This window comes from Homo sapiens, chromosome 7 (genome assembly GCF_000001405.40).
Source record: "Homo sapiens chromosome 7, GRCh38.p14 Primary Assembly".
In the NCBI taxonomy this organism is placed as follows: Eukaryota; Metazoa; Chordata; class Mammalia; order Primates; family Hominidae; genus Homo; species Homo sapiens.
Genome location: NC_000007.14, coordinates 66,958,552 through 66,981,612, shown reverse-complemented (window position 1 = coordinate 66,981,612; position 23,061 = coordinate 66,958,552). Strand labels below are relative to the sequence as shown.

Genomic DNA, 23,061 nt, shown 5'->3' with positions numbered 1-23,061 from the left:
GAGGTCAGGAGTTCGAGACCAGCCTGGCCAATGTGGTGAAACCTCATCTCTACTGAAAATATAAAAATTAGGCCAGGCGCAGTGGCTCATGCCTATAATCCCATCCTTCTGGGATGCCAAGGCTGGTGGATCACTTGAGGACAGGAGTTCAAGACCAGCCTCGCCAACATGGTGAAACCCCATATCCACTAAAACACAAAAAATCAGCTGGATGTGGTGGTGGGCACCTGTAATCCCACGTACTTGGGAGGCTGAGGCAGGAGAATCACTTGAACCAGGGAGGTGGAGGTTGCAGTGAGCCAAGTTTGCACCATCGCACTCCAGCCTGGGCAACAAGGGCGAAACTAGCGAAATCTGTCTCAAAAAAAAAAAAAAATACAAAAATTAGCTGGGCATGGTGGTGGTGCCACCTGTAATCCCAGCTACTCAGGAGGCTGAGGCAGGAGAATCGCTTGAGCCTGAAAGGCAGAGGTTGCAGTGAGACGAGAGCACGCCACTGCACTCCAACCTAGGTGACAGAGTGAGACTCTGTCTCTAAATAAATAAATAAATAAAGTTTTCAAAAGCATATGAAAATACCAATTTAATAAGCTTTTTGGAAAATTTAAAGTGAAACTGCACTTTTATTCTCATTCAGATTCACTTTCAAAGATCTCTTCTGCCCTGCCCTTTAGAAATTGTGAGAGGCTTCCCTGGGTCTTGGAAGTTGAGATCTTGAACTTTTTCCCTAGCATGACCAGTGCTGTTGCCAAAATGCCAGGGGTTTGGTGTAGGTCCTGCCGCTTGCTGCACAGAAAGCCAATCAGTAGTGCCAGGGAAGAAGGCTTTAATTGGGTGCTCCAGCCAAGGAGATGGGAGATCAGTTTCAAATTTGTCTCCCTGACCAACTAAAATTAGAGGTTTATATAGGAAGGAAGAAATGTAACTACATGCAGTAAAACAGGAATTAGGGAGGGGTAAGGAAGAGGAGTTGATCAACAGGCAGCAGGTGGTCTGTTAGGCCATTATGACAGATGAGGGGTTCTGCATCTCATTGTCCAAATGCAGTGATCTGGTAAGTTTCAGTTCCTTGATACCATCTGGGAGGCTTGATGGTTGATTTCCTGAGAAAGGAACTCAGATAAGGCAAATGTCACTTTCTCAAATTTCAAGACTGGAAAGGTCAATTTGTTTCTCTTTTTGCTTTTGCTTTTGTTTTGTTTTGAGACAGGGTCTCACTATGTTGCCCAGGCTGAAGTGCAGTGGCTATTCACAGGCGTGATGCCACTACTCATCAGCACAGGAGTTTTGACCTGCTCAGTCTCCGACCTGAACTGGTTAACCCCTCCTTAAGCAACCTGGTGGTCCCCCACTCCCAGGAAGTTGATGCTAAACTTAGTGCAGACACCTGATTGGCATAGCGCACTACAGCCCAGAACTCCTGGGCTCAAAGGATCCTCCCGCCTCAGCCTCCCAAGTAGCTGGGAATACCAGCACACTCCACCACACCAGGCTAGAAGTGTCAATTTCTATGTTTATTCAAAAGAAACCATAAACATCTGCTCTATGAAAGAACTGAGTCAGTTTCAGTACCTTAGCAGGTGACACAGACTCTGTTGTGAGAACGGAAAGCCCAGGAAAGAATTGTAGATTACTGGTTTCAAGCTGTCTTATACCTACCTCAGGCACTAGGAGGCATGGAGAGTTTGCAAGGAAGTGATGAGGAGATTTAAAAAGAAAAGGCAGAAGAGATGGAGAGTGGATGGAAAGCTCCCAATAAAGAGAGGCTGGCCAGGCGCGTTGGCTCATGCCTATAATCCCAGCATTTTGGAAGGCTGAGGCAGGCGGATCACCCAAGGTCAGGAGTTCGAGGCCAGCCTGGCCAAAATGGTGAAATCCCTTCTCTACTAAAAATACAAAAAATTAGCTGGGAGTGGTGGTAGGTACCTGTAATCCCAACTACTAGGGAGACTGAGGCAGGAGAATCACATGAACCCAGGAGGCACAGGTTGCAGTGAGCCGAGATCGCACCACTGCACTCCAGCCTGAGTGACAGAGTGAGACGAGAGAGAGAGAGAATAGGAATGTTTTGAGCAGAGCAGTTACTTCTTGCTGCAGTTCCTTTTCCCCAGAACAGTCAAAATGTGCTGGCCCTTACTTTTCTTCACGTCCCTCTCCTCCTAGGCTGGGATCCAGGAGCCCCAGGACTTGGTGCCACTAAAATAACTGCCGCATTTTTTTTTCCTTGAGTTTCATGGCATGGATCACAGATTTCAGCTTTGAATCTTTGAATGTTTTGAATGTTTCAGCTTTCAAATGTTTTGCTTTTCTCCAAATAGCCTAAGCTATAGTGAACCATAGAAGGGCAATGAGCAAGCCATCATACCCAAACATTTCTAAATCAATCCATTTTCCATCATGACTCAGTACATGTATACATCTGTAACAGAGTGCAGTGGTGCAATCATAGCTCTCTGCAGCCTAGAACTCTTAGGTTCAATCAATCCTCCTGCCTCAGCCTCCAGAGTTGCTGGAACTACAGGCTTGTGCCACCACGCCTAGCTAATTATTTTAACTTTTTGTAGGGACAGGGTCTTCCTATGTTGCCCAAACTTAATCTACTATTTTGTTTGTTTGTTTGAGACAGAGTCTCGCTCTGTTGCCCAGGCTGGAGTGCAGTGGGGCAATCTCTCCTCACTGCAATCTCCGCCTCCTGGGTTCAAGTGATTCTCCTGCCTCAGCTTCCCAAGTAGCTGGGATTACAGGCGCCCCCTACCATGCCCAGCTAAATTTTTTTTTTTTATTAGAGACGGGGTTTCATCACAGTGGCCACGCTGGTCTCGAACCCTTGAACCCAGGTGATCCACCTGCCTCAGCCTCCCAAAGTGCTAGGATTACAGGCGTGAGCCACTGTGCATGGCCTTAATCTACTATTTTTTGTGGCAATAATTAGATGCTTAATTCTCTAAGTAAAAATTAAATCCAATTCCAAGGTTTGCAAAGCATACTAAGTATACCCAAACATCTTCAGAGAAACTATGCTGAGCAATTTCTTTACCGTATTTTGCCCAAACACAGTAATGAATACAGCTGAATATTCCCTGCATGTTTTGCTAATTTCATACTTTCCGTCAGTACACAGAACATGGCAACTGTGTGTCTCAAGTGTTTTTCAGACATCGTCTGACTTACCGTAACTGTCTGCATAGTAGACCTGGTATTATGCATCTTACACAGATGGAGAATTTGAAGTTAAATACGGGCCCAGGTGCACAATTACATTTCAGGGCCCAGAATTTAGGTATAAATGTTGGACTTAAAGAGTGCTGTTTTATTTTTAGAACACTAATTCAGTAAATAAAGCAGCAGACATGGGCTTATGATTCATTCACCTTATTTGTGAAAAGAAAAGCCTAATAACCTCAGCTTCTTTGTCAAGTGGTTTAGCAAGTCACATCAAGAGAAAAGGAAAGCGCTGGGTGCGGTGGCTCATGCCTATAATCCCAGCACTTGGGAGGCTGAGGCAGGCATATCACTTGAGGTGAGGAGTTCGAGACCAGCCTTGCCAACATGGTGAAATGCCATCTCTACTAAAAATACAAAAATTAGCCGGGCGTGGTGGTGGGCACCTGTAATCCCAGCTACTTGGGAGGCTGAGGCAGGAGAATCGCTTGAACCTGAGAGGTGGAGGTTGGCGTGAGCCAAGATTTTATCACTGCACTCCAACCTCGGTAACAAAGCAAGACTCGGTCTCAATTAAAAAAAAAAAAAAAGGAAAGGAAGCTGGGAAAAAATGCAATGAGACTAAAAGTTACTAAAAAATAGCCCAAACCTTTAACAAAAGAAGCTTTGAGGCCAGGCGGTGGCTCAGGCCTGTAATCCCAGCAAGTTGGGAGGCCAAGGCAGGCGGATCACTTGAGGTCAGGAGTTCGAGACCAGCCTGACCAACATGGAGAAACCCTGTCTCTACCAAAAATACAAAATTAGCTGGGCATGGTGGCGCATGCCTGTAATTCCAGCTACTCGGGAGGCTGAGGCAGGAGAATTGCTTGAACCCGTGAGACGGAGGTTGCGGTGAGCTGAGATCACGCCATTGCACTCCAGCCTGGGCCACAAGAGTGAAACTGTCTCAGAAAAAAAAAAAAAAAAAGAAGCTTTGAAAAGTGGGGAGGGAGAGAAATATTTCATTACTATTTATCGCAGAGAAACTCTCCACCAGGCTGCCACATGTGGTTGCACAGGCTGAGCACTGCACAATTTCCACGGCTGCCATACAACAGCTACTCCTGAAGTGCAATGGTCCAGCTATCAAGATAGCTCTTTATGGCAATAACAGGCATTTTCTGTATTGAAATCATTTTTAAAAATAAAGATGGGGTCTCACAATGTTTCCCAGGTTAGTCTCAACCCCCTGGGCTCGAGCGATCCTCCTGACTCAGCCTCCAGAAGTGCTGGGATTACAGGCATGAGCCACCATACCCACCCGATTGAAACACTTAATTTTTTAAAATTGTTAAAGTACTTTGCATTAGAAAGAAAGAAGAGCTAAAATAAATCTTATTTATAAAGGCAAACATAGGGCCAGGTGCAGTGGCTCACGCCTGTAATTCCAGCACTTTGGGAGGCCAAGGGTGGATGGATCACCTGAGGTCAGGAGTTCGAGACCAGCCTGGCTAACACAGTGATGAGGGAAGAGAGAGATCCTCTCATATTGTTTTATATTGTTTTATACTCAGTACCTGTTTTAAGAAAAAACAACAAGGAAGTAAAACCAAAGACAGGCAGCCCAGCGCCATGCCCGAAACCACGCCTGGGCCTGCCTGGTCTAAACCCAGTAGTTAAAACTCAACTCATAACTTAGAAACCAATGTTATTCATAGATTCCAGACATCATGTAATCCCAGCTACTCAGGAGGCTGAGGCAGAAGAATCGTTTGAACCCTGGAGGCGAAGGTTGCAGTGAGCCAGGATCAGGCCACTGCACTCCAGCATGGGTGACAGAGAGAGACTCCGTCCTGAAAATAAATAAATGCATAAATAATAAAGGCAAACAGAACTTTTTATTACAATTATTCCCCCCCCCCCCCCCCACCGCTTAATTCTGAAACAGCATGTTTTGGACAAAGACTCCAATCTTTTTTTTTTTTTTTTTGAGACGGTGTTTCGCTCTTGTTGCCCAGGCTGGAGTGCAATGGCGCCATCTCAGCTTACCGCAACCTCCGCCTCCCAGGTTCAAGCGATTCTCCTGCCTCGGCCTCCCAAGTAGCTGGGATTACAGGCATATACCACCACGCCCGGCAAATTTTGTATTTTTAATAGAGATGGGGTTTCTCCATGTTGGTCAGGCTGGTCTCGAACTCCTGACCTCAGGTGATCCCCCCGCCTCAGCCTCCCAATGTGCTGGGATTACAGGAGTGAGCCACTGCGCCCGGCTGACAAAGACTCCAATCTAAGTAATTAAATCGACGTGAAGAAATAGAGAAAAATTGGACTCTCTGCATTAGGAAGTTTATAAAATAAGCATGTATTGATCGCCTGCTAGTTGTGAGGCTTTGCATTAGGGGATGTATTCGTGACTTTGGCTTCTTCTAGTTAAGTAGTTCTCAAAGTGGGGATACACCATTAGGATCGCCTGCCTCAGCCTCCCAAAGTCCTGGGATTACAGGCGTGAGCCACCGCGCCTGTAGCTGCACTAGACCAATCTGGTTCAACTTTTTTTTTTTTTTTTTTTTGAGACAGAGTCTCGCTCTGTTGCCCAGGCTGGAGTGCAGTGGCTCAATCTCGGCTCACTGCAAGCTCCGCCTCCTGGGTTCACGCCATTCTCCTGCCTCAGCCTTCTGAGTAGCTGGGTCTACAAGTGTGTGCCACCAGGCCGGCTAATTTTTTGTATTTTTAGTAGAGATGGGGTTTCACCGTGTTAGCCAGGATGGTCTCGATCTCCTGACCTCGTGATCCGCCCGTCTCGGCCTCCCAAAGTGCTGGGATTACAGGCATGAGCCACCGCGCCCGGCCTGCTTCAACTTTTATGTAACAAAGTCGTTAGTTTATCAGTTGCCTGGAACCCTCAGATTATGTAACCTGAGCACGTCCAGACGAACCAAGCCTGCACCCACAGGGGGATCCTAAGTGCTAGGATCGGGGCATGGGGACTAAATTAAGAAACAGACACAGCCCACCAGGATCCAGGATCCAATCAGATTGAGCCCTGGCATCACCCCATTGCAGCATCCAGTCAGATCACACCTCCTGGCATCACCTGACTACAAGATCCAATCATATCATGACTCATTAGCCTAGGCCTATAAAAGCCAACCCAGCCCCCACTCTCCAAGTGGCACTGTTTTGGGAGCTGTCTGTAATCCACCAAGCGACTGAACTCATCCACTGCGTAGGTAACAAGAACTTGTTACAAATGCAAAATCTTGGCCGGGCGCGCTGGCTCACGCCTGGATTCCCAGCACTTTGGGAGGCCGAGGCAGGCAGATAACCTGAGGTCAGGAATTCGAGACCAGCCTGGCCAAAATGGCGAAACCCCATCTCTACTATAAATACAAAAATTAGCCGGGTGTGGTGGCTCACGCCAGCAATCACAGCCACTCATGAGGCTGAGGCAGGAGAATTGGTTGAACCTGGGAGGCGGGGGTTGCAGTGAGCCGAGATCGCACCATTGCACTCCAGCCTGGGTGACAGAGCGGGACTCCGTCTCAAAAAAGAAAAATCTTAAACCTCATTCCAAACCTAATCAATCAGAGACGGGGCCCAGCAATTTTTAATCTCAATAAACTGTAAATCTATAAGTCAGTAAACTCTCCAAGTGACTCTGATGCACGCTAAAGTTTCAGAACCACTATTCTAGTTTGTAGATCAATATTTTAAGGTAAGAACAGGCATTTAGACAGTTCAGAGCTGGGGGCGTAGGGAGGAACACAACAGAAATGCCGAGAGATCAAACGTACGTAAGACTTCAGCCCAGCAAGATCTGCCGCAGATTTTCTCAAACCCTGGTGGTCCTTTTGGTGAGATGGGATGTTTCAGAGGGATATGGCTATAGATGGGATGGCCCTCTTGAGAGGCTGACAGAGACTTAAGTATCAGGCCAGGCGCGGTGGCTCACGCCTGTAATCCCAGCACTTTGGGAGGCCGAGGTGGGTGGATCACAAGGTCAGGAGATCAAGACCATCCTGGCTAACACGGTGAAACCACGTCTCTACCAAAAATACAAAAAATTAGCCGGGCGTGGTCGTGGGCACCTGTAGTCCCAGCTACTCGGGAGGCTGAGGCAGGAGCATGGCGTGAACCTGGGAGGCAGAGCTTGCAGTGAGCCGAGATTGCCCCACTGCCCTCCAGCCTGGGCGACAGAGCGAGATTCCCTCTCGGGAAGAAAAAAAAAGTATCAGATTTGTTTTAAAGTACTATGGAAGTGGGAATAGCCCAGCCAGAGGTGTTTGTTCCTTAATTTGTTTGTTGCTTTGTTTTTGAGACAGAGTTTCACTCTTGTTGCCCAGGCTAGAGTGCAATGGCGCGATCTCGGCTCACCACAACCTCCGCCTCCCGGGTTCAAATGATCCTCCTGCCTCAGCCTCCCGAGTAGCTGGGATTACAGGCATGCACCACAATGCCTGGCTAATTTTCTATTTTCAGTAGAGACGGGGTTTCTCCATTTTAGTCAGGCTGGTCTCAAACTCCTGACCTCAGGTGACCTGCCCCCTTCAGCCTCCCAAAGTGCTGGGATTACAGGTGGGAGCCACCTCGCTTGGCCTGTTTAGTGTTTTTTTTTTTTTTTTTTTTTTTTTGAGACGGAGTCTTGCCCTATTGCCCAGGCTGGAGTAGTCTTGCTCTGTCGCCCAGGCTGGAATGTAGTGATGGGACCTCTGCTCACTGCAACCTCTGCCTCCCAGGTTCAAGTGATTCTCCCGCCTTAGCCTCCTGAGTAGCTGGGATTACAGGCGCCCGCCACCACGCCCGGCTAATTTTTGTGTGTTTAGTAGAGACCGCGTTTCGCCATGTTGCACAGGCTGGTCTCGAACTCCTGGCCTCAAGTGATCTGCCCGCCTCAGCCTCCCAAAGTGCTGGGATTGCAGGTGTGAGCCACTGCGGCTGACCAGTCCAGAGTCTATTTGAAACAGAGTTGGAAAGACAGGAATTTAAACCTTACTAGTTGTGTAAAGTTGGTATGCAGCAGGCACATTTTAGGATATCTGCCCAGCCCACGATTCTTCCATTTCTTCTCTAGAATCTCTGTCTCTCAACACAAGGGGGAAGAAAGAGAGAGCGAGACAGACAGACTCTTATGCAACCACATAAAAGGAATAACCTTTGCTAAGAAGATAACGATTGTCTCTCTAAGGAGTTTAGAATATGGACAGAACAATAATCATGGATTTTTGCAGATGGCTGAACCTGTCTTCTGTGATTCCAGGAGTTGTGGGGCAGCCATGCTTCTCTACAAGGATACAGATACCAAGAGAAAGAACCCATTCTGCAGGTGGAGAAAAAGAGGACTCTGGGGTCTGTTACCTGAGTTTCCAGCTGTCTCCTGAGCCAGGTTCAGCACCTTCCTCTGTCTCGTAGCAAATCAGCCCCTGGATTCAGCGAGATATCCTGAGAGCCTACAAGTAACTTTGGCTGCCCACCTGTATTCTTTTTCTTATTTGTTATTAATTTATGTTGAGACGGAGTCTCGCTCTGTCGCCCAGGCTGGAGTGCAATGGCGTGATCTCAGCTCACTGCAACCTCCACCTACCGGGTTCAAGCAATTCTCCTGCCTCAGCTTCCTGAGTAGCTGGGACTACAGGTGCCCATCACCACGCCTGGCTAATTTTTGTATTTTTAGTAGAGACAGGATTTCACCATGTTGGCCTGGTTGATCTCAAACTCCTGACCTCAGGTGACCCGCCTGCCTTTGCCTTCCAAAGTGCTGGGATTATAGGCGTGAGCCACGCCCCGGGTCCCATATTCTTTTTCTTTGCAAAAGATTCAGCTGAAGTTCGTTTCTGTAACTCATACCAGAAAGCCTTTGCTAAGACAGGTGAGCAATTTATCTAATCTCACTCAACTTCAATGTATTTGTGGAAGGAGGCTGCTAATAGGTACCTCATTCACTGGTAAAGAGCTAAGTGAGATAATGTGCGTAAATACTTAGGGCAATGTCCAGCACACATTAAAATCACCCTTTCAAGTCATAGGAATGAGTTCTTTATCACCCTGGGCTGTGGTAATCACCTGTGCGTTCCAGGTCAAAAGGCCTGAGGTGGCTCCCTGGAATATGGCCTGGTCTCCACTCGAGTCTACTAATCTGAAGGCTGGGCAACCACAGATTACTTGCTCTGATTGAAAAGTTTGACAAGAAAATGATGACCAGGTGCCTTTCAGTGATTTCAATTTTTGAAGATGGCCAGGTCCACCGGCTCACCCACTGGGAGGCCAAGGCAGGAAGATCTGTTGAGCCCAGGAGTTCAAGACCAGCCTGGGTAATAGAGTGAGACCCTGTCTCTTAAAATAAGTAAATAAATAAATGAAGTAAAGAAAAAATCTGCAGGCCGGGCGCAGTGGCTCACGCCTGTAATCCCAGCACTTTGGGAGGCCGAGGCGGGCAGATCACGAGGTCAGGACATGGAGACCATCCTGGCTAACATGGTGAAACCCCATCTCTACTAAAAATACAAAAAATTAGCTGGGCGTGGTGGTGGGCGCCTGTAGTCCCAGCTACTCAGGAGGCTGAGGCAGGAGAATGGTGTGAACCCGGGAGGCGGAGCTTGCAGTGAGCCGAGATTGTGCCACTGCACTCCAGCCTGGGTGACAGAGTGAGACTCCATCTCAAAAAAAAAAAAAAAAAGAAAGAAAAAGAAAAAGAAAGAAAAGAAAAAATCTGAATATAATGTGAAAACTTCTTTCCTAAGATTATTCTTCCTTTTAATTTTAATTTTTTTTTTTTTTGGAGACAGAGTATCGTTCTGTCACCCAGGCTGGAGTGCAGTGGCACGATCTCAGCTCACTGCCACCTGTGCCCAGAGGTTTTAGGGGTATTTTTGTGTTGAGATGCTGATATGGTTTGGATTTGTGTCTCTGCCCAAATCTGATGTTGAATTGTGGTCCCCAGTGTTGGAGGAGGGGCCTGGTGGGAGGTGATTGGATCATGGGGGCGGATTTCCCTCTTGCTGTTCCTATGATAGTGAGTTCTCGCAAGATCTGGTTGTTTAAAAGTATGTGGCACCAGCTGGACGTGGTGGCTCACACTTGTAATCCCAGCACTTTGGGAGACCAAAGCGGCTGGATCACCTGAGGTCAGGAGTTCAAGACAAGCCTGACCAACATGGTGAAATCCCATCTCTACTAAAAATACAAAAATTAGCTGGGTGTGGTGGCGCATGCCTATAATCCCAGCTACTTGGGAGGCTGAGGCAGGAGAATCACTTGAACCCGGGAGGTGGAGGTTGCAGTGAGCCAAGATCTTGCCATTGCACTGCAACCTGGGCAATAGAGTGAGACTCCATCTCAAAACAAAACCAAAAAAAGTATGTGGCACCTCCCCCTTCACTCTCTTCCTCCTGCTCCAGCCATGCAGACGTGCCTCTTCGCCTTCTGCCATGATTGTAAGTTTCCTGAGGCCTCCCTAGCCATGCTTCCTGTACAGCCTGTGGAACCGTGAACCAATTTAGCTTCTTTTCTTTATAACTTACCCAGTCTCAGGTAGCTCTTTATAGCAATGCAAGAATGGGCTGATACAGATGCCATGTTTGTACCCATGCCATTGTGCCAGCCGAAGACTGCCACAGGGCTGGCCAGTCCCAAACACCCTCCACATCCAGCTCCAGCCAGGTTCCTGCAGCTTTGGGCTGGCTTTGCAGGACCAGAACTCAATACATAACTATCTGACTGCTCCCTGCAACCTCTGGCAGGGCTGGGCAGCCACGACCTCACTCCCCTGCCCTAACTCCAAGGTACTGGCATTACCAATGGGGGCTCGAAACTGCAGCTGGGTGAGCTCCAAGCCCTCTGCATCCTTCAGCAGGAAGGTCATAAGAAGTGGAAAATGCAACATTTGGGCATGAAGGCAGATGTGCCTGTCCTCACCTAGGTCCATGGGGATGCAGCCCTAGCAGGGACCCGCCTTTCTCTACCCAGCACTTCCCTGCCCTCCTCCAGTATCACAGGGACTGAGGTAGGAAGGGCCTGAATAGGACAGGGGCGGGGCTTGTAAACACAGCTCTGTTCCTGCCTCTGCCAAACTGTTTTGCAGTTTTGACCTGCAAAAACTGTCCCACGCACACACGTAATTCCCTGGATGGACTGAGTGTGAGGTAGGCAGGCTGACTCTAACCACCCTTCCTCCAATTACAGAAAACAATGACCATCTACAGGCTTCACATATCTTAATTCATTTAATCTTCACAAGAACGCTGGGTAGTAAGTGCTATTATTATCCCTATTTTTACAGATGATGAAATGGAGGCATACAGAGTACAAATGAAATTTGCGGCCGGGCATGGTGGCTCACTCCTGTAGTCCCAGCACTTTGGGAGGCCGAGGCAGGTGGATCACGTGAGGTCAGGAGACCAGTATGGCCAACATGGTGAAACCCCGTCTCTACTAAAAATACAAAAATTAGCCAGGCATGGTGGCAGGCACGTGTAATCCTAGCCTCTCGGGAGGCTGAGGCAGGAGAATGCTTGAACCTGGGAGGCGGAAATTGTAGTGAGCTGAGACCATGCCATTGCACTCCAACCTGGGCAACAAGAGCAAGACTCCATCTCAAAAAAAAAGAAGAAGAAAAGAAATTTGTGGCTGGGGGCAGTGGCTCACGCCTGTAATTCCACCATTTAGAGAGGTGGAGGTGGGAGGATCACTTGAAACCACGAGTTCGAGACCAGCCTGGGTAACATAGTGAGACACCCCCCCCCCCAACCAACTCTATTTTTTTAAAAAAAGAAATTTGCCCAAAATTACCCAAAGAAGCATCAGTGCCAGATTTTGAACCCAGGCAAGCCAGCTCCTAATCCTAAACCCAACCTGCTAACCACTAGGTTCTCCTGTCTCCCAGTAAGCCACTCCCTGTCCATGACCTGGACATTAGTAATTGCTGGCTACCAGGAATCAGAACTGGCTACCAAGGAGAAAAGCACCATTGTTTGCTCTAAATAAGGTATGCATGTTTCAGGTTTTTAGAATTGGGGCTTAAAATACACAAAGATGGGCTGGGCACAGTGGCTCACGCCTATAATCCCAGCACTTTGGGATGCTGAGGCAAGAGGATCACTTGAGCCCAGGACTTCAAGACCAGCATGGATGACATCACAAGACCCTGTTTCTAAAAAAAAAAAAAAAAAAAAAGAAAAAAGAAAAGCCAGGTGTGGTGACACTCACCTGTAGTCCCAGTTACTTGGGAGGCTGAGGCAGGAGGATCGCTCAGCAGATCAAGGCTGCAGTGAGCTATGATTGAGCCACTGCACTCCAGCCTGAGTGACTAAGACCTTGTCTCAAAAAAAGAAGAGGCCAGGTGTGGTGGCTCACGCCTGTAACCCCAGCACTTTGGGAGGCCGAGGCAGGCAGATCACCTGAGGTCAGGAATTCGAGACCAGCCTGGACAACATGGTGAAACCTCGTCTCTACTAAAAATACAAAAAGTAGCTGGGCGTGGTTGTGGGTGCCTGTAATCCCAGCTATTCAGGAGGCTGAGGCAGGAGAATCACTTGAACCCGGGAGGCAATGATTGCAGTGAGCTGAGATCACGCCACTGCCCTCCAGCCTGGGTGACAGAGCAAGGTTCCATCTCAAAAAAAAAAAAAAGAAAAGATACACGAAGATTGTCTGGGCATAGTGGCTCACACTTATAATCCCAGCAGTTTGGGAGGCCAAGGCAGGAAGATTGCTTGGAACCAGGAGTTCAAGACCAACCTGGCCAACATAGCAAGACCCCATCTCCAAAAAAAAAATTATAAAATAAAATAAATAGGACACATGAAAGTGGGCTGGGTGGAGTGGCTCACAGCTATAATCCCTGTGTTTTGGGAGGCCAAGGCGAGAGGATCACTTGAGGCCAGGAGTTTGAGGCTGCAGTAAGCTATGCTTACATCACTACACTCCAGCCTGGGTGACAGAGCAAGTCCCTGTCTCTAAAAAAAAAAAAAAATTTGGCCGAAGATATACTCTGGAAGGTCCCATCTAAGAAACACACACGCGTGCACGCATGCACACACACAAACACACACACTTCATCCATTTGTTGCTGACACTCGAATTGTGGCCAGACCCACCTCCAGGATTTTCTTTGCCTGGCTTGCTTTGCTTAGACTTTTGACATCTCTCATTTTTCTGGAATCTAACCCAGGCCAAGATCTCTAATGTCGCTGTCACTAAAAGTTGCATATCCCACATCCTCTAGATATCACACACTTCTGGCCAACCTTTTGGTTTCCCACTGTGTATTTTTGGCTCATTCTTTCCAATTCACGCCATTTGTGAATCATCCAACACGGGCCGCACATCTCGTCCAATCCATGGCATGGCCGTGTTGTGCTACCAACTTTGTGGGTGGCATTTCCCACACCCCAGAGTATGGGCTATCATTATGTATCTGGGTGCGAAAAAAATGCACATGACAGTGGGTACAGTTACTCCCTCTTCTAGTTCCCACAGCATTCTGTGATTTGCTTGTGTGTGTGTGTGTGTGTGTGTGTGTGTGTGTGTGTGTGTGTGTGTGTGTGGTGGGGGGGGCAAGGATACATGCAGAAAACAAGATGGAAATAAAAGAAGTATACCATTTGTCTCCCAGCATCAATGGCTGCCTGGGTGGAACCTGGGCTTCCTTTTTTTTTTTTTTAGAGGCGGAGTCTTGCTCTGTGGCCCAGGCTGGAGTGCAGTGGCGTGATCTCAGCTCACTGCAACCTCTGCCTACTGGATTCAAGCAATTCTCCTGCCTCAGCCTCCCAAGTAGCTGGGATTACAGGCATGCGCCACCACGGCCGGTTAATTGTTGTAATTTTTGTAGATACGGCGTTTTCCCATGTTGGCCAGGCTGGTCTCGAACTGCTGGCCTCAAGTGATCCTCCTGCCTTGGCCTCCCAAAGTGCTAGGATTATAGGCGGGAACCACCACGCCCAACACTGGGCTTCCTTGGGTGTCAAATGGACATCTTTAGGGCTGGTCCATCCTCTGGATCCATTCCCTCTCCCTCCAGGAGGGCTAGGAAGAGGGCAGTCCCTCCTCAGCCGCCATCATCATCTTGAGGTGCAGGGCAGTCAGGTAAACCCCAAGGAAGAGGAACAGACCTCAGGCTGGTGGACCTGGCCTGCGGGGGTAGGGGGTGACAGCTGCCCTAGGTGCCCAGGGTGGGTCGAAAGTCAAAGGCTGAGGCAATCAGGAACCGCTCTGTCTTGGGCAGGATGCTAGAACCGTGGTGGGTGATGCCACCCCCTTGAGGTCACTTTGGAAATTTGGGGTTTTCTGATCATCACAATAATGTAATAGCAACCTGTGGCCAGGCGCAGTGTCTCACACCTGTAATCCCAACAGTTTGGGAGGCTGAGGGAGGTGGATTGTTTGAGCCCAAAAGTTCAAGACCAGCCTAGGCAACATAGCAAGCCAAAACAAAACAAAACAACCTAGCTGGGCATGGTGGTGCCTGCCTGTGGTCCCAGCTACTTGGGAGGCTGGGGCGGGAGGATCACTTTAGCTGGGGAGGTTGAGGCTGCAGTGAGCTATGATCATGCCACTGTAGTGTACTCCAGCCTGGGCAACAGAGTGAGGCTCTATCTAAAAGATAATATTAATAATAGCAACCCACTCCTGGGATACAGACATAGACTCTGCAAAGATCTGTCCCAAGTTCCATGTGGCTCCAGTGTCGTATCCAACATTCACACAGATGAAAAATGTTCATCCTCATTTGAGCCCTGAACTGAACTCTATTTTGCAGAAAGGATTTTTTGCACAGTCTTAACATACATTGTATTTTCCAGCAATGAAACTAAATTGAAGCAAAAGTGTACTTTGTTTGGGGCTGGGCACGGTGGCTCATGCCTGTAATCCCAGCAGTTTGGGAGGCCGAGGTGAGTGGATCACCTGAGGTCAGGAGTTCAAGACCAGCCTGGGCAACATGGCGAAACCCCGTCTCTACTAAAAATACAAAAAAATTATAGCCAGGCGTGGTGGCAGGTGCTGTAACCCCAGCTACTCGGGAGGCTGAAGCCGGAAGAATTGCTTGAACCGGGGAGGCAGAGTTTGCAGTGAGCCGAGATCGTGCCACTGCACTCCAGCCTGGGAGACAAGAGTGACCTCTGCCTCCTGGACCAAAGCAATTCTCCTGCCTCAGCCTGCCGAGTAGCTGGGATTACAGGCATGCAGCACCACGCCTGGCTATTTTTTGTATTTTTGGTAGAGACAGGTTTTCGCCACATTGGCGAGGCTGGTCTCAAACTCCCGACCTCAGATGATCCACCTACCTTGGCCTCCCAAAGTGTTGGGATTACAGGTGTGAGCCACCGTGCCCAGTCTTTTTTTCTTTTTTGGGACAGGGTCTTGCTCTGTCACCCAGCCTTGGGTGCAGTGGGGTGATCATAGCTCAGTGGTCTCCAGTGCCCAGGCTGCACAGCAGGAGGTGAGCAGCGGGCAAGCAAGTGAAGCTGCATCTGTATTTATAGCCACTCCCCATTGCTCGCATTCCCACCTGAGCTCCACCCCCTGTCAGATCAGTGGCAGCATTAGGTTCTCATAAGAGCACCTATTGTGTACTGCACATTGGAGGGATCTGGGTTGCATGTTCCTTATGAGAATCTAATGCCTGATGATCTGAGGTGGAACAGTTTCATCCCAAAACCATCCCCTACTACTCCCCATCCATGGAAAAACTGTCTTCCACAAAACCAGTCCCTGGTGCCAAAAAGATAGCTCACTGTAGCCTCAAACTGCTGGACTCAAGCAATCCTCCCACCTCAGCCTCCAAGTAGCTGGGACTACAGGTGTATGCCACCACACCCGGCTAATTTTTTTATTTTTTGTGGAGATAGGGTCTTGCTGTGTTGCCCAGGCTGGGTTGATACCTTTTGAATTTTTTTTTTTTTTTTGAGACAGAGTCTTGCTCTGTCACCAGGCTGGAGTGCAGTGGCACACTCGGCTCACTGCAACCTTCACCTCCCAGGCTCAAGTGATTCTCCTGCCTCAGCCTCCTGAGTAGCTGGGACTACAGGCATGCACCACCACCACCCAGTCAATTTTTGGTTTTTTTTGTTTGTTTTTTTTTGAGATGGAGTCTTGCTCTGTCACCCAGGCTGGAGTGCAGTGGCGAGATCTCGGCTCATTGCAAGCTCCGCCTCCCGGGTTCAAGCCATTCTCCTGCCTCAGCCTCCAGAGTAGCTGGGACTACAGGCGCCCGCCACTACGCCTGGCTAATTTTTTTGTATTTTTAGTAGAGACGGGGTTTCACTGCATTAGCCAGGATGGTCTCGATCTCCTGACCTCGTGATCCGCCCGCCTCGGCCTCCCAAAGCGCTGGGATTACAGGTTTGAGCCACCGTGCCTGGCCCTAATTTTTGTATTTTTAGTAGAGATGGGGTTTCACCATGTTGGCCAGGATGGTCTCAATCTCTTGACCTCGTGATCCACCCTCCTCGGCCTCTGAAAGTGCTAGGATTACAGGCATGAGCCTCCGCACCTGGCCCAAATTTTTCTTAACTTTCAAGGTCAAGGGTACAGGTTCAGGTTTGTTACGTAGGTACACTTGTGTCATGGGGGTTATTTCATCACCCAGGTATTAAGCCTAGTACCCATTAGTTGTTTCTCCTGATCCTCTCCCTCCTTCCACTCTCCGCCCTCTAATAGGCCCCAGTGCGTGTTGTTTCCCTCTATGTGTCCATGTGTTCTCATCATTTAGCTCCCACTTATAATCAAGAACATGCGGTATTTGGTTTCCTGTTCCTGCGTTTAGTTTGCTAAGGGATATCTTTTTTAGAATTTTTTTTTTTAAAGGAGCCTGCATCCTGACTAAACATCAGCATGCCTTCACCATGCTGTGACCCAGGCAGCTGCAGGATCTTCCCAGCAGAATGTTCCCTTGAACATTCTCAGACACTGATAAAGGCATCTAGATTGTTGCTCGAAACACTGGAAAAAAAAAAAAAAACTGGTCCTGAGCCAAATTTCTCATACTCTCATAAAAATTCCTGTCCCTGAGCCCCTCACTGAAGACATACCTAGGTAGAACCTCCCTTTTCTCTCACTGTTGTGAGGATCACTGCAGCCCTCCTAAGTAAATTCCCCTAATAAATGTTCTGGCCTGATCACCCTGGCAGTTAGTGTTTCTTTCTTTAGAATCTCAACCAGCCCCAGCTGCTGCGGTGGCTCACGCCTGTAATCCCAGCACTTTGGGAGGCCGACGGGGGCAGATCACTTGAGGTTAGAAGTTTGAGACCAGCCTGGCCAATATGGCGAAACCCTGTCTCTACTAAAAATACAAAAAAAAAAAAAAAAAAATTAGCTGGGCATGGTGACAGGCGCCTGTAATCTCAGCTACTCGGGAGGCTGAGGCAGGAAAATCGCTTGAGCCCAGAAGGTGGAGGTTGCAGTGAGCTGAGATCGCGCCATTGCACTCCAGCCTGGGTGACAGAGCAAGACTGTCTCAAAAAAGGGCTGGGTGCAGTGGCTCACACCTGTAATCCCGGCACTTTGGGAGGCCAAGGTGGGCAGATTGCCTGAGGTGAGGAGTTCAAGACCAGCCTGACCAACATGGTGAAACGCCGTCTCTACTAAAAATACAAAAATTAGCCAGGTGTGGTGGCGTGCACCTGTAATCCCAGCTACTTGGGAGGCTGAGACAGGAGAATCGCTTGAACCAGGGAGGCGGAGGTTGCAGTGAGCCAAGACCGGGCCATTGCACTCCAGCCTAGGCAACAAGAGTGAAACTCCGTCTCAAAAAAAAAAAAAAAAAGGAGCTGCGTGTGGTGGCTCGCGTCTGGAATCCCAGCACTTTGGGAAGCCAAGGTGGGCAGATCACCTGAGGTCAGGAGTTTGAGACCAGCCTGGCCAATATGGCAAAACCCCGTCTCTACTAAAAATACAAAAATTAGCCGGGCATGGTGGTGGGGACCTGTAATCCCAGCTACTTGGGAGGCTGAGGCAGGATAATTGTTTGAACCAGGAGGTGGAGGTTGCAGTGAGCTGAGATTGTGCCATTGCACTCAAGCCTGGGCAACAGAGCGAGACTCCATCTCAAAAAAATAAAAAATAAAAATAAAAAGACAAAATTCTTGATAGCTAGCATGTTGGCATTCAGAGTCAGAACTCTCCCAGCTGTAAAAGATTTTTTCTAGATCAGTGTCTTGAAACTGCAGGCTGCCTTCCATTTGTGGGCCATGCGATCAATGTACTGGTCACGCCCTGTGTTTTAGTTAAACGAAAAGAGACTAAATGGAAACGTGTCAGTGTGTGTCCTATGCAGTGAGGGTGATTATCATGTAGTGAAACTTGTTTCTGTTACATACACATCCTTTCAGAGACTGGTTCTCATACCCCCACAACGAATGTTAAGAAGCCACAGCACAGATAGCATCACGGTGATGAAGGACTAGGGCTTAGGGAAGATTCTCTTTGCTTGGTGAACTCTCCTCTCCAAAGGGTAACCAAGGTTGACACACCAGCTGCATTCTCGGACACCTCCACTTACCATTTCCTGTAATTCCGGCACTTTGGGAGGCTTAGGTGACAGGATTGCTTGAGGCCAGGAGTTTGAGAACAGCCTGCGAAACTGCATCTCTACCAAAAAATACTTCTTTTTTTTTTAGACAGGATCTCACTCTGTCACCCAGGCTGGAGTGCAGTAGCACAATCATAGCTCACTGGAGCCTGGATCGCCCGGGTTTAGATGATCTTCACACCTCAACCGCCCAGGGAGGTGGGACTACAGGTGTGCGTCTCCATGCTTAGCTCATTTTTTTTATTTTTTCTAGTAACGGGGTTTTGCATGTTGGCCAGGCTGGTCTCAAACTACTGGGCTCAAGTGATCTGCCCACCTTGACCTCCCAAAGTGCTGGGATTACAGGTGTGAGCCACCATGCCCAGCCAAAAAATTCTTTAAAAAATTAGTTGCGCCTGTAATCCCAGCACTTTAGGAGGCGGAGGCGGGCGGATCATGAGGTCAGGAGTTTGAGACCAGCCTGACCAACATGGTGAAACCCGTCTCTACTAAAAATACAAGAATTAGCCGGGCGTGGTGGCGTGTGCCTGTAATCCCAGCTACTCAGGAGGATGAGGAAGGATGAATCACTTGAACCAGGGAGGTGGAGGTTGCAGTGAGCTGAGATTGTGCCACTGCACTCCAGCCTGGGCGACAGAACAAGACTCTGTCTCAAAAAAAAAAAAAAGTTAGTTGGGCTCAGTGTTGCACACCAGTAGTCCCAGCTGCTCAGGAGACCGAGGCAGGAGGATCGCTTGAGCCCAGGAGATTGAGATTACAGTGAGCTGTGACTGTGATCACACCAGTGCACTCCAGCCTGGGTAATACGAGACCCTGCCTCTAAAAAATAATTATAATAAAAAACTTAGCTGGACGTGATGGTGCCTGGATGTAATCTCAGCTACTCGGAAGGCTGAGGCAGGAAGACTACTTGAGGCTGGGAGGTCGAGGCTGCAGTGAGCTATGATCGTGCCACTGCACTCCAGCCTGGGCAACAGAATGAAACTCTATCTCTAAAAATAAATAAATAAACATTCACTGTGTGCCACACACTGTGTTGACGTGCTGAATCCTCACCACATTAAAATGAGTCCCACCATCCTTGTTTTACAGATGAGGGAACTGAGGCACAAGAGGCTCAGCCACAGATAGACGCAGAGACGCAGACGCGGTGGCTCATGCCTGCAATCCCAGCACTTTGGGAGGCTGAGACGGGTGGATCACCTGAGGTCAGGAGTTCAAGACCAGCCTGGCCATCATAGTGAAATTCCGTCTCTACTGAAAATATAAAAATTAGCTGGGTGTGGTGGCAGTTGCCTGTAATCCCAGCTATTCAGGAGGCTGAGGCAGGAGAACTGCTGGAACCCAGGAAGAGGTCACAGTGAGCCGAGATCGCGCCACTGCACTCCAGCCTAGGCAACAGACAGAGCAAGACTCCGTCTCAAAAACAAAACAAAAGGCTCAGCCACTTGGCAACAGTTACAGGCCTGTAGGAGTCAGGGTCTAAGCTCACACCCACCATGCTGTGCTTCAGCTCTGGGAGCTCCCTTCTTGGACTGTCTTTGGAGGAGCGTCTCCCTGTGCGTCCTCCTGCTGACCACCCCCTGGGGTCCCTCTGGCAGCAGCCTGGGGGAATCCTGTCCTCAGATGGGGAGACACGTCCCTACAGGACTCCTAGTCTCCACTTAGCAATGACCCAGGGCACCTGAGCATGGCTTCTGTGCACCAGGAGCACAGCCCGCCGCCTCCACATGGAGTGCCTGGGTCCAGAACTCCCCATGTTCATCTACAAATGGAGCCTCTTCCAAGATGTCTTTTTTTTTTCTTTTTTTTAGGCAAGGTCTTTCTCTGTTGCCCAGGCAGAGTACAATGGCGTCATCTTGGCTCACTGCAACCTCCGCCTCCCGGGTTCAAGTGATTCTCCTGCCTCAGCGTCCCGAGTAGCTGGGATTACAGATGTGCACCACCATGCCGAGCTAATTGTTGTATTTTTAGTAGAGACGGGGTTTCGCCATGTTGGTCAGGCAGGTCTCGAACTCCTGACCTCAGGTGATCCACCCACCTCGGCCTCCCAAAGTGCCGGGATTATAGGCGTGAGCCACCATGCCTGGCCCCAAGATGCCTTCTGTGAGCACCTCAACTGAAGTATCATGTCCATCCTCTCTATCCTGCTCCTCTTCACCTCCCCATGATCTGCCATCAGATGATGTATTTGTGTCTCCTTATGACTAGAAGGTAAGTGCCAAGAGGGCAAGCACTGTCTGTGAACTGTTGTATCTCCAGCTCTTAGAAGAGTGACCAGCAATAAGAGGATCCTGGGAAATGTTATTGAATGAGCAAAAAAGTTTGGAGGCACCAGGTGTGGTGGTGCACGCCTGTAATCCCAGCACTTCGGGGAGGCCAAGGTAGGAGAATCGCTTGAGCACAGGAGTTCGAGACCAGCCTGGGAAATACAGCAGACCCTGTCTCTACAAAAAAAATGTAAAAAATTATCTAGGCATGGTGGTGTGCACCTGTGGTCCCAGCTACTCAGTAGGCAGATGCGGGAGGATTGCTTGAGCCCAGGAGTTCAAGGTTACAGTGAGCCATGACTGAACCACTGCATTCCAGCCTCCTGGGTGACAGAGTGAGGCCCTGTCTCAAAAAAGAAAGGAGAGAGAGAGAAGTAAAGGAGGAAAGAAAGAAAAGAAAAAAGAATTTGGAGAAAAGAGACTGAATGTCAACAGCAAAACTCAACCCCTGCTTCTTTCCCCTTGGATGTAGCATGATTTACTGCCAAGTCTTCTAGCATTTTTTTTTTGAGACAGGGTCTCAGCCTGTCGTCCAGGAGGGAGTACAGGGGTGTGATCATAACTCAGTGCAGCCTTGACTTCCCAGGTTCAAGTGGTCCTCCCACTTCAGCCTCCCAAGTAGCTGGGACTATAGTCATGTGCCACCACCACGCCTGGCTAATTTTTGCATTTTTTGCAGAGCCGGGGTTGCCCAGGGTGGTCTCAAACTCCTTAGCTCAAGTGATCCTCCCGCCTTGGCCTCCCCAAGGGCTAGGACTCCAGGTGTGAGCACCATGGCCAGCCTCTTCTTGCAGTTTTTCAAACCACCCTAGTTCTCCCATCATCAACAACTAGCGTGATACGTGAAGTGTGCGTGGTCTTCAGAGGTGGAAACAATGTGGGCTCTCAAATGGGCAGGGATACGCTTATTTTGTTGAGACAAAGTCTTGCTCTGTTTCCCAGGCTGGAGTCCAGTGGCGTGATCTCAGCTCACTGCAACCTCCGCCTCCCAGGTTCAAGTGATTCTCTGGCCTCAGCCTCCCAAGTAGCTGCGACTACAGACACCCCCCACCACGCCCGGCTAATTTTTATATTTTCAGTAGAGACAAGGTTTCATTATGTTGGCCAGGCTGGTCTCGAACTCCAGGCAAGAATGTTTCTTTGAGACAGCAACTAAGTTCACAATGACCTTGAGTAGACTCCGGAGTGCTATAGTCTGTGCGTTCATTCCACTTTTGGGGGAATCCTTACAGATCCGTGAGTGTGAGGGAACTGGAAGCACAGGGGGCCCACCGGGAAAATGAAATGATTTTAAAGCAAAACCTCTGACCTGACTTGAGAACCTGGCACGTATCAGGTTTTACCAGGCTAAGACAGCAGAGAGACATGAGTTCTTCTCCTCCAAGGCGTATTCTGTACTGGGATGGAGGGGAATCACCACCTACACAAATACTTGAGTCCAAGGAGAGAGCAGGAAATAACACTGCGCTCCACGCAGAGTTTGCCTGTTCCAGGCAGGAGGCAGGGAGAGGTGGAGGCAGAAGGAACAAAGAGCTCATTGAGTAGCACCTTCCTCAACCATGAGACTGACCTTGCGACCCCAGCACCTGCTGGGGAGGGAAGGGAAGGGACACAGAGCCTCTGGCTGCTGGAAAGGGGAAGGATTCACATTAGTGAATACGATCTCCCTTTAGCTATGGAAACTGCAGAGGATGCACTGTCTTGGCAAAGGAGGTCTAGAGCGGGCCAGAGCTCTGCAACAGGAGACCGCAGAGCGGGCTGGGCACCTGCGGCTGGGCATACAGGCTTAGTGCATGCTGAGGGTTTATGTCACCGAGAGGGGTGTCTTGGAACTCCTATGTCTATTCAGTGCTCCCTGCTGGTATTTATTATTTACTTCCTTGGGCAGGATTAGGGTCAGGCCTGCAAGCACTTGTTGGTCTAGCAAGCTACAGGAGGTTTTGTACCCTCAGGGGGAAGATGCATGTGCTGGGTGAGGCTGCCTTCAGCAGAATAATGACCACCCCTCGTCCAAATGAGAAGTGACATTTCAAAGCAGCAGCTTGCAAAAAACCCTCAGCTGCTGATCGCACACGTTCTTCCCTTAGAAAACACCCATCCGGCTGGAGGAAGAAGACGCGGAGCAAA

The 23,061-nt window shown here is 49.1% G+C and overlaps 1 pseudogene, besides 1 other annotated feature; it reads right to left on the bottom strand.

Moving 5' to 3' along the window:
• RN7SL43P (RNA, 7SL, cytoplasmic 43, pseudogene) lies at window positions 1,204–1,493 on the bottom strand (annotated as a pseudogene).
• Window positions 16,944–17,144: a silencer, noted in NCBI's record as "peak6549 fragment used in MPRA reporter construct". NCBI's record gives its function as "represses an SCP1 promoter by STARR-seq MPRAs in K562 erythroleukemia cells {active_cell/tissue: K562}" and the evidence as "EXISTENCE:reporter gene assay evidence [ECO:0000049][PMID:32103011]".